Raw genomic sequence first — 14407 nt, 5'->3', positions numbered from 1 at the left:
TGCCTGCGCGCATGCGCGCGCGCTCGCGCGGACACACATACACACACACGCGCGCGCGCGCGCGCGCGCGCACACACACACACACACACACAGAGCTGCTTTGTCCGCTGTGAGGTTGGAGGTTTGGGGACTCTGTGCCCACTAAGCTACTTTCTATTTCAAGTGCCTGTATGTCTGAGGCTGGGTTTGAAGCCTCCAGCGTGTTTGGAGTTAATCCCCATTAGGTTGGACTCCGCCCCTTTCTCCCAAAGGTAAAGCAAGGTTTTCAGGCATCACTGCAAAGGGCAGCTAGTATTCCCATCCTTGTCTAACAAGCTGTAAGGAGAAGTTGTTTCTGAGATCTGAGCCTGAAGAGAGGGAACAAGTCAGTCAGCCTTCGTGGTCAGAAGGTAAATATGCAACTTGGGCCAAATGCAATTCAAACAGCTGGATAAGAAACTGCTTTGCTCTCCCCTTGCTCAGCCCCCCCTTCTCCCCTTCCTTTCTCAGGTTTCCTGTCCTTTCATCTCAAAGCTCAGAGAAGCCGTTTTCTACCCGAGGGCAGCCTGGTGCTTTTTTATTTCTTCATAGTCCGTTGTTTGCACAGAGGCTAAGATGAATCAGGGCTGGATTCCTATTTCATATTGACAAGATTTGAGGACCTAAGGGTTAAGTGCTAGTTGGTTTCCCCAGGGGAGTTGGTAACCTGAGGAGATGAAGTGCCTGTTTCTGGGAGTGGAGAGAGTGATTTTGTTATGACCTGTCTATACAAGTAAAAATGGATCCGGTTTGCTAATGTGGTAGGTTGATCTCCTGGATTTGCCTAAATCTAAGGGGTTATGCGACGGAAATGGGGTAATGAAGTTAAACTGAAATGCAAATATTGAGGCCTCTCAGGCTGGAAATAAAAGAATGCATCCATTTGGTAAATATTTATGAGTTCCTACTATGTGCCAAGGCATGACAATTTCCAGAAGAACCTGAAATACTTAAACTATAAATCCATTCTTGCAAAGAACACTTGGCCAAGTGGTTTCATTTTGTGGTGGGGAACTGAAAATAGAATGAAGCCTAGGGGTGAGGAAAAATCACCCATGGAGTGGTTGTGGGGAGAGAAAGGGGAAAGGAGAGATGTTCTAAATCTTAGGTGGTTTCAAGTCTTTTCCATTACTTATGAGAGAATAGGGTCTTTTCTGGTAGAAAGGGAGAGAATTGATACCTACTCTGGTGTTAGGTATAGTGCAGATGTTTCACTTGAATTTTATGCTTAATCATTTCCATTTTATAAATGAAACCAAAACTCAGAGGTTTTAAGTGATCTTTTTATGTGCATATAGCCTGTAAGGGGCAGACCTCAGGACTCTGTCTCTGATCTGATTCCAAAATTGTGACTTTTCCACTAAAACAGTATTCCTCAATCATTAGTTCCCATTAGAATAAATTGAGGATTTTTAACAATATGAATTCCCATAAATTCGAATTCAGTGAATCAAGGAGGGGGTGACATAGTCTGCATTTTGAACAAGCATTGAAAGTGATTCTGAACAAGCATTGAAAGTGATTCTGTTGAGACAAACATTCTTGATATACCATGCTGCCTCTCAACTTCTCTGAAGTGATTGGAAAAGCAATCAGCCCATCTTCTTCCCATATGGGCCAGATTCACTCAATAGAAGTGGTCAGCTGTGGTGACATTTTATTCCCAGCTTATACAATGGAGTGGAGAGACTAATGGGCAACAATAACAGGGCTGGGGTTTAGGGCTTAACAATGTCTTGCCAGGGATCTTGATAGGGGTAGTTTCTAACCAGCTGAGAGTGTGAGATAGAACTCGTAGCCAACCAGCTTATCACTGAAGATGATGGCACCTGTCTAGCCAGAATAAGAACTGAGATGAAGATCTCTCATTGGTACCTCACTTTTAAAATCATAGGATAGATGGGGAGCTCAAGGAGCAGCATCTTGGGGAGAGGGAAGGAGAGAGAAGCTCATATGAAATTTGGGGAGGTTATTCCAGTTCCTACCTTTCCAGTCTCAAACTCTGGAGAAAGGAAATAGCCCAGGGCCTGATGTGGAGGTTCTTTTTATGAGCTCTCTTTGTCTCTGCATGGTCAAATATATTTATTTAGAGTTGATCATTTCAAAGTTATCAATTGCTCAGTTAGTCCTTTCTCTCCACTTAGTCTCTGGCTTCCTGCCTTTTAATGCCTTACCTGCTTGTGAGCATTCCCACCTCTGGATGGAGAGATGCAAATAAACACATAAACTCACCCAACACAGTTTTGCTGGTCTTTCTACCCCAAACTAAAAAAGGAGGGAAGGAAGAAGAAGGCCCAGAAAGAAGTTCAGCAAACATGAAATCTGAGGAATTTGAAATAAAAGACACAAGTCAAAAGAGAGATCTTCTTAGAGTCACCAAGATGAGTGAGTACATCATGAGATGATTTCAGGCACAGGAGAACTCAGAGCACTTCTCATAATGGAGATAGCCAGAGGAGAAGAAACCCCTGAGGGAGACAGGTAGCAGAACATGAGGAGAGAAATGTTTGGGGAGTAGCAGTATTTTTTTTTTTTTTTGAAGCTTTGTCTGAAACAGAAAGATCTAGCATGGTCAGGCTGCTTATATACCCAACTTGATATAAGGAGTCACATCGGTCCAACACGTTTCTCTGGAGCAGGACTCTATTTACCCACTGGAAACATATGCCTGCATATCTCATTCATTTCCTAGGGAAGTCTCAACTCTGAGTAAGATGTATTTGTAACAGGATTGGCAGGAAGACAATGCACACTGTCTGGGGGCGTGAGGAGAAAGGCCTGTTCACGTTCCTTTGCCAACACCAGTGCCAAGAAAGCTGCTCTTCACAGACCAGTCCTAAACCAGCAGTCTTGCAGGCATGTTTCCCTCAGCAGCTGTTAAGTCACTGACTCCCTTTCTTACCACTTCATGTTCTAGTCTTTAATTTGCTTACTGTTTTGCCTGTACCCTCTTACCCTGGGAAAGGCAGTGCTTTCCTTAACTCAGAAGTTGCACAACAAGCTCAAGTGGAAACAAAAGGATTTGTGTCTTTTTCTGTGGGTACTGGGGAGGAGGTGATACAGGAAGGAATAGCTTTGTTTTTCTCCACCAAGAGAAATATAAAAGCAACGTTTCACTTTCATTGATACTTCATTGTAAGTGCCCATACATTAGTAGGTATACAAGAAAGTGAAAAAAGTGAGAACAAATGATTAAAGGCTTGGCAATTGGACACCACAGGGAGAGGGAGAATGCTCATTATGGGGAAAAAGGCTAAAGGTCTCCTGCTAGCAATCTGAGTTGATGAAGGGCTCTCATTTGGAAGATGGTGGCTAGCTGTTCTCCATTACCTCTGAGGACCCAACAAAAGGATCTGGCCTTAGGTTGCAACAAGAAAAGTTTATAAAGGCATATAACAAATTATTTATTGACGGTGAGAGTTGTTAAGCTACTAAGAGATATTATAGATTTCCCTTTCCTAGAGTTCTTTAAAAGTAATGGAGATAACCATTTGCCATGTATGGTTTAGGTGGGTTTCCTGCATCATATAGGTTGAGGTGACTTCTACCCACGAGGCTGTGCTAGAATGGCTAGCATTATCTCTAAAGATGAGCAAACATTAGGCTTTAGTAAGGATAGCAAATTCAGAACAGAACTCATATTTTTATCCTATTTATTACAACTTTCTGGCAACATCCACTGCATCTCATACAACCAATCTCGGAAACAGGCTTGCGGCCCATCTAGCAGATTTAAAAACCTGAGGAATGAGGGATAATGTGACACCTAAAGAGAGAGGTTCAACTGCAATCCTATCAATGCCTGGTAACTTGACCACTCTACAAGAGCATCAGGGTGAGTTCTTGGTTCCTGAAATCCAGTGTGGCTGTTTGGCTGGATATTCCAGGACAGGGAAACAAAGCTGTTACATACATGAAGTATACAACAGGAATTAAGATAGAATAAAATATAGCATTGTTTGTGATTTCTAGTTATGTAAATATAAAGCGACTTAACCGGTTTCTGGGAATGAACTTGGATTGCTTTGGAGGGTTGTCATGAAGGAGATTACTCCATTGCAGGTGGCATAACTAAAAGCATTTTCTAGAATACACTTCACTGTCCACCACATGTGAACATAAAGCAGTGTGTGAACAGACTCCATGTGCCCTGCAGCCTCTCTATCCAGCCACAAGGGAAGTTGGGCTGAGACTCATATTGTGTTCAGAAGCTATTAAGTAATTGGATCTCTGAGATCTCTTTCTTGATTGCGTTCAAGTCAAGTCGATGATTTAGAAAGGTTTGCATTTAAAGTGTATAAGCTTCATATCTTCAATGTTTAATTCCATAGTCACTTTTAACTTTATATTGTTTGAGTCCTGAAAAGAGAATATTAGAGAATTATCTGTGGCAGTGATTCTTAACCTGCTGTCCACGGATTGTGCTAGCCCACAACATCTCTAGTCCTAAATAGGGTGACCATTTCATCCAAGGTTTTTTGGGACTTTCCTGGTTTTATCACTAAAAATTCCACATCCCAGGAAACCCCTGAGTCCCAGGAAAACTGACATAGTTGGTCACCCTAGTCATAAATGAAATAAGGACTATGCGTTTTTCCTAAAGTTGAAAGTACTTCATCTAAATTCTGAAGGACAATGAGTTTTTCTAAAGCTAAACACATTTAATTTAAATTGAATTTTGAGAATTTGTCTTCCTATGTCTTGGCTTCAAAACGTCGCTTTTAAACTGAAATCATGGTGACAGTAGTTGATAGTATTGTAGTTTAATTTAACAGCTTCATTTGTCACAGGTGAGGACAACCATATATTACAACCCCTCCCCTCATTTCTACTGTAGTCACGGCACTACACAGAGATAGTCCGTTCCTCTGCCTTAAGTTCTCTGCCCCTCCTACTGGTTGTTATATTGGGACTTTTTAAAAAATTTTATTTTTCCATAAGTTATTGGGGGTACAGGTGATATTTGGTTACATGAGTAAGTTCTTTAGTGGTGATTTGTGAGATTTTGGCGCACCCATCACCCGAGTAGTATACACTGCACCGTATTTGTAATCTTTTATCCCTCGCCTTCCCCCCAAGTCCCCAAAGTCCCCAAAGTCTATTGTGTCATTCTTATGCCTTTGCATCCTCATAGCTTAGCTCCCACATATCCGTGAGAAATATGATGTTCAGTTTTCCATTCCTGAGTTACATCACTTAGAATAATAGTCTCCAATCTCATCCAGGTCGCTGCAATAATGACTTCTTTTTCTCTAGGCAGATACCCAGTAGTGGGATTGCTGGATCAAATGGTAGTTCTACTTTTAGTTCTTTAGGGAATCTCCACACTGTTTTCTATAGTGGCTGTGCTAGTGTACATTCCCACCACCAGTGTAGAAGTGTTCCCTGTTCACTGCATCCATGCCAACATTTACTGTTTTTTGATTTTTTGATTATGGCCATTCTTGCAGGAGAAAGGTGGCATTGCATTGTGGTTTTGATTTGCATTTCCCTGATCATTAGTGATGTTGAGCATTTTTTCATATATCTGTTGGCCATTTGTATATCTTTTTTAATAATTGTCTATTCATGTCTTTAGCCTACTTTCTGATGGGATTTTTTTTTTCTTACTGATTTGTTTGAGTTCGTTGTAGATTCTGGATATTAGTACTTTGTCAGATGTATAGATTGTGAAGATTTTCTCTCTCTGTGGGTTGTCTGCTTACTCTGCTGACTGTTCCTTTTGCTGTGCAAAAGCTCTTTAGTTCAATTAGGTCCCCGCTATTTATCTTTGTTTTTATTGCATTTGCTTTTGGGTTCTTGGTCATGAAATCCTTGCCTAAGCCAATGTCTAGAAGGGTTTTTTCAATGTTATCTTCTAGAATCTTTATGGTTTCATGTCTTGGGTTTAAGTCCTTATTCCATCCTCAGTTGATTTTTGTATAAGGTGAGAGATAAGGATCCAGTTTCATTCTCCTACATGTGGCTAGCCAATTATCCCAGCACTAGTTGTTGAAAAGGATGTCCTTTCCCCACTTTATGTTTTTGTTTGCTTTGTTGAAGATCAGTTGGCTGTATTTGGGTTTTTCTGGGTTCTCTATTCTGTTCCATTGGTCTATGCGCCTATTTTTATACCAGTGCCACGCTGTTTTGGTGACTATGGCCTTATAGTATAGTTTGAAATCAGGTAGTATGATGCTTCCAGATTTGTTCTTTTTGCTTCATACTGGGACTTTTCATCTCCAGGTGATGATGTCCATGAGGGACATTCGGAGTTAGTTTTGACTACAAGTGCTGAGATTGAAAGAAATTATATACTTGCCCTGATGGTGTTTGCACTATGTCTGGAGAAATTGGGTTTCCTTCTGTCTTCAATATTTTTTGAAAATCTCTATGGGAAATCATGGAGGCTTTTAATTGTAATACTTTTGGGGTAATACTGTAGGGGAAGGCTTCAGGTAAAAGAAAAGTGAGAAATTATGGCTTTGCCGTTGAATCACTGTGTACCCTTGGGTAGGTCGCTTGTCTTTCTGAAGCCCAATTTGCTCATTTGTAAATTTAGGATAATATCTTTCTTACTAACCTAAGAAGACCGTTGGGCAGAGCACATATAATAATGGATTTGGAAGGGATTGTGATGACACAGCTAATAACTGTTTGTCAGCTTGTTTCCTCTCCTCCTCTGGCCTGGGCTGCTTCATCAGGAAATGAGTCTGTAATGGAGGGCTGCTTGCACTTTTTGTAATCTTACAAACTCTAATACAACAAGCAGAGGCATTACCTCATTGCGGCCAACCATACCTGCTGTCTAACAGCAATTACTCAAAACTAGTTCCACTTCTCCCCCTGTTGCCTTTCAATCCCTCATCACATCTTTCTCTCATTTCTCCCATTCTCAGCCACAAAGCCTAATTCCCAGGGGCCCAGCTCAGGGCACTTTCTTCCCAAGCCCTAACATTCCAGAGTAAGCACCTGCAATTTACGATCTCTGCTCCCTTCCTGCACAAAACACGTAGCACAAAATACATATGTATCAATAGGGGAATTGTGGTTGAGTAAAAAAAGAGCATTATATTAAGAATCAAATAACTGGGCTCTGATCTGGCCAGTGTACCTCACTAGCCCTTCACCCTTGAGTAAATCACTTCCTCTCCATATTCCCACCTGTAAAGTCATGGAGAGGGGGTAGTTTAACATTGTGTGGTAGAAAAGTACTGGCCTAGGCATCTGCAGATCAGGTTTCAGGTTCTGATGTTGCTGCTTGCTAACTTACTCTGTGACTTGAAGAAAATCACTTCCTCCTTTACTGGGCAAAATTCTCCCATATGTAAAACAAGAAGGTTGGATTAAATGATTCATTAAGTTCCCTACCCATCTGGAAATTGAATGATTCTATGAAATGGGTTTCACTAAACAAACTTGAAATGGACTGCCTGCTCTGTGTCAGGCACTGTTTGACAATGGTTGTGAAAGGGCTCATGACTGAGACCCTGAGACACTTAGTGCCTCTGCTGCTTGTTCCTGTCAGTGTCTAAAATTGGCAATGTGGCGATGACCCCATACAGCCAGTTCCTGCGCTTCCCCTGCTTTGGGTCCCCCAACCTCCTTCCCAGTCCTCTACACCACCACATATAACTTTAAGTAATGGTGGTGAATCATGGAGAAGTTTTTGAAACATATTCCACCATCTGCCTGCTGGAGACATTCACAGTGCTGTCATCAAGCTGCAGTGTGGTCTCTAGCCGGCCCAATAGAGAAACAGGCCAGAAAGCAATGGCAGATTAATGGAGTTGGGAGGAAAGTGGTTGATTTTTGACAGAGGGGTCTGTGAAAACCATTTGTGAGCTGAGCTGAAGAACTAGATCTGGAAAGACTCTCAGCGTCTTGATTACAAGATTACTTGTTCCAAAAGGGACCTTGAAAGGTCCTTACAGCTATATGTTCCTGCTGCAAGGTAGGGAGTGCCTGATCCTGATCTATTTCAGAACTTTGAGAAGCTTTTTGGATTATATCCAGCAAAGGACAAGGAAGCTTTTCTTAATAGCCATTCCAGAGATAACCTCTCCTGGTTGGAAAGTTGCCTCCCATTTTGATTGTGGGAAAAGTGACTGATCAGTGCTCTCTCAGTGACAAGTATAGGGTATGAGACTAGACACTCCTTATTTTATTCTATCCATTTAAACCTGGCTGATGCATCCCAGTTGAAAAGCGCGCACTAACACACTGCTGGACATGTTACCCAAGTCAAATGGGAACAACCTGTAACTCTGTGGCGAGGTCTCTTTCCCTCTCACCCCTTATAGTAGGGGCGGGTCTTGATAAGTTGTCTTCCTTCTCCTTCACTCACTGAAAACAACTTTGCTCCTGATCCTCTTCAGATATTGCCTCCTTCCAAGCTACCAGGCCAGGAAGTCCATTCAGCTGGAAGCCGGGACAGCAACCTTGTTTTCATTTAGGCTCCTTTCCTGCCACTTGTTCCACGATGTATGTCAAGAGTTAAAAGCTGTCTGATCCGGCTGTATTTGAATTGGCAGAGCAGACCCTAATTCAGTTATCTGGTTCCTCCATTGCAGCCTAAAGACCATAGAACTCTAAATCAGGCAGAAGGAAGGGAAGGTGGGAAAAGTACTGAAAAGCAAAATCCCACAGGGATCCAAATGGTCCTCGAGAGAATAATCTTATCCAGAAGCAATGACCAAGTGGCACATAATTGAGCCCCAGGACTGGCCAACCAGATGAAAAATAGGCCAGTGGAGCCTACATGGTAACTTACTGCATTTGGTGCTGTGATCCAACTCATCTCCCCATCCCTGCAGAGAAACCTGTGACCATGAGGAGCAGCCTGACCATGGTGGGAACCCTCTGGGCCTTCCTGTCCCTTGTTACTGCTGTGACCAGTTCTACCAGTTACTTCCTACCTTACTGGCTCTTTGGATCCCAGATGGGGAAGCCAGTGTCATTCAGCACATTCCGGAGGTGCAACTACCCTGTGCGGGGAGAGGGACACAGTCTGATCATGGTGGAAGAATGTGGGCGCTATGCCAGCTTCAATGCCATCCCAAGCCTGGCCTGGCAGATGTGCACAGTGGTGACAGGTGCCGGCTGTGCTCTGCTGCTCCTGGTGGCACTAGCTGCTGTCCTGGGTTGCTGCATGGAGGAGCTCATCTCCAGAATGATGGGACGTTGCATGGGAGCAGCGCAGTTTGTTGGAGGTAAGACTGTGCTTCTGGGATTGGGTAGGTTGGGTAGCTTTGGGGCAGGGAGGAGTGGGGAGTGTAGCCTTATGGGGAAACCCATTCTCACCCCCTTCACTTTGTCCAACTCTAAGGCTATGAATGAAGTCTCCTTTAAAATATTTAGTCTAGGACTTCCCAAAGTGCAATCAATATCAGAGTTTTATTCACAGCAAATTTGGCTAGTAGGCAGAATTGATATCTGTTGTTTACCCTCTATTTTTGTCACCTTCATCTGCCTGCAGGTTGCCCATTTAAAAACATTATCTATTAATATGTCTGCCTTCCAGAGTCAGCAACATACACTGTAGTATTACTGCTCCAACATAAACTTAATTTCTAGGAGCCCTGCTCTCTGGTAGTTATCTCAGAGAACAGTGATCTAATAAACACATACACACAGGTGCAAATTACTAACAGTTCTCATCAAAGAAATACACCTCTAATAGTGAAATGTTGTGTACCACAAAAACTGTAGATGACTACTTATCTGGACCACATCTAAGGCTAGCCCTGTCTGGCAGCTATTAGCAGTCTACCCAGATTTCTTGTGACCTTGACCCACCTTACTTGTCCTTCCCCTCATTCAGGCTCCCCCTAACTTTAGTGCAGGGAACCTGAGATATTGGCAGTGTCTGGATTGGCTAGAAAAGAGCAAAATGCAAAAATGGCAGACTTCAGGAAGACAGTGACAGCTGTATAATTTGAACTGTCTGAGAAGAAAAAACAAATTTAGAAAGACAGGAAAACATATATGTGAATATTTGAGTATTTTGCAAAACCTAGATTGGGCACTGGGAAAAAGTGCTGGTAGAATCTACTGCTGAAGTTTGTTGTTACAGAGTTTTAGAATTATTACCCAATTCATTATCATTATTATCTCCATTAGCATGACAGTGTGGGTCACTAGAGCCAGGAAACTTGGATTTCACTTCTGTTTTTTTCACCAAGTTGCTCTGTGACCATAGTGGGAAAATGACATGACTTTTCCTATGCTTCACTTCCTTTGAATTTGTCCCCTGGTGATATAGCCCAGATCTGATCTTTCTTTCTTCTGTCCAATGACTGCATTCATGTGGCCTTGGAGTGAGATGGCAGTGATGAGCTAAGACAGTGGGTCTCAATGGGGACTACTTTTGCATGCCCCTCCCCCCTGGAAGACATTTGGTAATGTCTGAAGGCATTTTAAATTGTCACAACTTGGGGAAGGTCCTACTGACATCAAGTGGGTGAAGGTGAGGGATGGTGATGAACGTCTACAATGCACAAGATGAGGACAACACTCACCCACAACAACAAAGAGGTATCCAGCCAAAATGTCAATAGTTCTAAGTTTGAGAAACCCTGGGCTAGGCTACCAAGCTTTCCTGGCTTGATTATGAAAAGCATCAGATTCTGTTTGTGATACCAATTAAAGTGATGCTTTCTGGTTTCCTCTTTTCTCAGACTAGCTGTAAAAGTTTTAAATCTGAATTACCATTCTAGCCTCCGTCATTTCTAAAATTTTTCCCACCGTTTAGCCACTGATGGGTTTTTAGCCACATTGGAATGTACAATTAAGTTAGTTTCTTCCCTTTGAAAACTGTAATACTAAACCAGTTGCTAAGGCTGATCTAAGCCAATTATCTTAGCTGGCTTTGGAAGCTCCATGGGTATTACAAATAGGTCTTAGGCTTACCTTTCACTTTTATTTTTAAACACGCTATAATTAACTCAGCACTGCTATGAACACATTATTTCAGGAAGTGACACTTGGCTGATAGGGCAGAGGGGTCATCCTTGCAATTCATATTTATAGCCCTGGAGCCCAGTTCCGTGCCTGGCTGGCACAAAGCAGATGTTCAGTAACTGTAGAAAGAATGAATGCATGGCTAAGGCAATATCTAGCATATGTTGGGATAAACTGAATATGTGAGAGCTGGATTAGTTCACATCCTTTCCTCTTTTTCCAGGCTTCCATGCAGGGCTGTTAGCACCCTGAGCTCTCTTCTCTTCTGACAAAAGAGTGACAGTTTAGCTTCACTTGTATTTCTAAGAGTTTCCAGCAGAGTGAGGAGGGGCTAACTGTCAGGAATCAGAAAGCCTAGCAACAGCCTCCATCAGATTCCACACATTAAAGTGGCTCCCATACCCCCAGGTTGCTTCCTCTTTTGGGCTCAACTGAGACTTTCACAAAGCATTCATAATTCTCCATATGATGCATTTCAGTTGATTTCACCTACTAGGTATAGAAACTCAAAGGAAATTGTTGATAGGGGATGTAGGAAGGTAGTGGAGATTTGGATATTCACAGGTTAGGCGGGACAGAACTTTGAGTGGCAGGTGTCACATAGAGGAAATAAAAACACGAGCATCATTTTAGTTTCACATGATTCTGCCATTCTATATCCACGTGAGCCTTGCTCATAGGAACATAGTCACAGTGTTCACATGTAGATGAGGGTCTTTAAAGCTGAAGAAGAAAATGCCATTTGGCAGTAGTCCTACAAGTCTTCAAGACCCTGGGTGTGCTATCAGGTTTATCCCTGGGCAGGGGATTGATATTGGGACAGATCGCTAGACCTCCACAGCTTCCCCATCTGTAACACCAGCCAATTAAGAACCATTCCTGCCTCCTTTCTAGAGACTGGTGGCTGTCCAGGTTATATCAGATGTGAAAGAATGGTGAGGGTTGCTTGGATGAACTCACTAGGAGCCCCTTGACATATGACTGTGACCTAAGGATCTTTGGACATCTTCGGCCTGACCTTCTGAGACAGGCTTTGCCAGTGGAAGGAAACCAAGGCTGGGCAGCATTTTGGGCCCCATGGATAAAGACACAAGAGAAAGAGTTTGGGGGATTAAGTTCAAACTTGTGTAGCTGAGGGGAATTGATTTTGTTGCTTCAGGTCTGGCTGCTTCTTGGCAGCTAGCGCATTAACCGAAATACATTGGGGGAGTAGTCAATTTTTGTCAGGTCTGGTTTCTCTCTGCCAGACCCCAAACCACTGAAGAGATGGAGTATCCATTAAGAACTACCCCCTTCCCCTGCCTGACTCTTGCTCCCCAGTTTGGCGGCTGCCCACAGAGATGAGTGGTGGGAAGTGGGAGAGACAGGAAGAAATAAAGAGCTGCTGGCCTGACTCATACTCAGCAAAGTGACCTGATGGGGCCCATGGGTCCCATTTGCTCCACCTGTAGCTGATCCATCTGGATAAGCCCAGGGTCCAGAGAGCCTTCCACTGGGACCTCCATGCCCTGCTCCAATCAATGAAGGAAACACCTGGCCAGGAGATTATGTCAACACTGGGGATGCTGAGATTTCTAAACAGCTGGCCCCCAGTCCCTGAGAACATAGCCACTATTCACATTCCCCTGTTTATACATATGCAAGATGCTTATGAGATCCTCTATCTTCAGTGAGAGCTAAACAAAGAACAAATAGGTGAGTAGTACACATAAGGAACTTCTTGGCAGAAAAACAATGTAAGATCTTGAATCAGGTTACTCATGGGAGGCCAAGAATCTTTCTCGACCAAGGAATGTATCAGAATCACCTGGGGTGCTTAAAAATGTGAGCTTTCCAACTCTCTGGTCTCGTTTCCCATTCTGATGTACACAACAACAGGTGTAAGGTTGCATATTTAGTCAAATCTCCCCAGTGACTTTGATGTGTATGTGTGTTCCCTTTCCCCAGCCTAAGGGAGGATCACTACCCTGGACATTATTTTTTTGTTGTTAAGAGAACAGCATTCAACACACCAGTGCTTTTCTCCATGTAAGGTCCTAATATTACATGCTTCAAACTGAATAAAAGTTGCCATTGGAGACATATCACTGAGAACTTGATTTCAGGAAGAGTGCCATGTTTCTAAAAACCATCATCATCTCTGGAAACTATTTTTTTCCTGGAAAGTCCTTCAGAGTTTTACCAGATATCATTTTATTTATCCTTACCATGCTGAGAAAGGATTATGAAAGCGATTTTCTGTTTGGGAAGTGGTATTCAAGGAAGTTAACCCACTAGCAAAGACTTATGTAGCAAATTGGAGCAGAGCTGGGAATATGGTCCAGTGCTCCTGACTCTCAGTCCTGTGCTTCATACACTGATGCTCTTGAATTTTTTTTCTTTTCTCTTTTGGAAAAGAAATGCTATCACAGTGTTTTCCACAGTGGTCCATGAACCGCTTGGATTAAGAATTACCTGGGGTGCTTGTTATTACAGATTCCTTAGTGCTGCAGACTGCACCAGTGCCTGCTAAAGTGCGTATTACACAACCTCTCATGCTCATATATTTTTGAAAATATATTATGAAATATTTCAGATGTACTCACTACTCTGTGTAAGAAATGGAATATTAGCAATATAGCTGAAGCCTCCTTTATACCCTGATCACATTCCCTTGTCCCCACTGAAAAGGTAACAACTGTCTGGGAGTTGTTATTTATCATTCACTATCATGATTCCAGTACACACTAAAATTTGAGAAACTCTGCTCAGCCTTGTTTAGGGTGTTGCTTCTTTCTGGAATTCCCTTTTCTTCTATCCCTCCCTGTAAATATCTACCTATCTCTCAAAGGCCAGGTCCAATGCAGCCCTTCTGTGAAGCCTTCCCTGATCTACTTTTGACATCTTTAGCAGATATGAACGATCCTGTAACTCCAAGAGGAATATGGGGTAGAATGAATGGCGGGGGCTGGGGGGGTGGTAAGTGAAGGAACTCCCTAGGAAGGGAAAGCTGAGATATAGTTGAAAGTCAGGCTTGTAAATTTTCCACTGGTTTGTGTTTGAGTCGAAGTTGTTATAATAACAAATTAACCCATACTAGGCTTCTGCTCAGGGCAGTAAATCCAAGCTACCCAATAATTATGTTTGGAAAGTAGGATTGGCAGCTATGCAAAGACAAGGGAATTGAGAACAAGAGCAGGAAGTTTAACAAATGCCCACCCAACAGTTGCACTTGTGAATAGTGGAGGGGTGTGCAAAGGGAGTTGGTAATACCCAATGAGGAGGTTATCCCTGCCAGAAGACAAAGATTAGGCATCTACCTATTTGAGAATGTGTAGTTGGGAGAGGATTATATAGCAGCTGGGATATGGGCAATTAGTAATGCTGGGAACAGGGGAAAGTTGAAGGCAGCTGTGGTGTGGCTGGAAGGAGGGCTCCAAGTTCTGTCTCAGATTTTGCACCTGAAGGT

At 42.8% G+C, this 14407-nt stretch overlaps 1 protein-coding gene across 6 annotated transcripts in view, besides 1 other annotated feature; it reads left to right on the top strand.

Moving 5' to 3' along the window:
* LHFPL1 (LHFPL tetraspan subfamily member 1) overlaps window positions 280–14407 on the top strand; it is a 49291-nt gene continuing 35163 nt past the window's right edge. For 3 of the 6 annotated variants that reach the window (XM_047442082.1, XM_011530943.3, XM_024452370.2), the window contains exons 1-2: window positions 280–389; window positions 8571–9209. In XM_047442082.1, coding sequence (XP_047298038.1) covers window positions 8759–9209 — 451 coding nt within the window. In that variant the 5' untranslated portion in view covers window positions 280–389; window positions 8571–8758. Of the gene's footprint in view, window positions 390–8375; window positions 9210–14407 lie in introns of all 6 variants that reach the window. The other 3 variants (XM_011530946.3, NM_178175.4, XM_017029485.2) reach the window with 2 other exon arrangements.
* Window positions 10932–11577: an enhancer, noted in NCBI's record as "OCT4-NANOG hESC enhancer chrX:111911869-111912514 (GRCh37/hg19 assembly coordinates)". NCBI's record gives its function as "activates a minimal SCP1, AML or CMV promoter by ChIP-STARR-seq in naive H9 embryonic stem cells {active_cell/tissue: H9 hESC(naive)}" and the evidence as "EXISTENCE:reporter gene assay evidence [ECO:0000049][PMID:30033119]".

The sequence above is a fragment of the Homo sapiens genome, chromosome X (assembly GCF_000001405.40).
Source record: "Homo sapiens chromosome X, GRCh38.p14 Primary Assembly".
Classification (NCBI taxonomy): Eukaryota; Metazoa; Chordata; class Mammalia; order Primates; family Hominidae; genus Homo; species Homo sapiens.
This window is presented reverse-complemented; position numbering and strand designations above follow the sequence as displayed.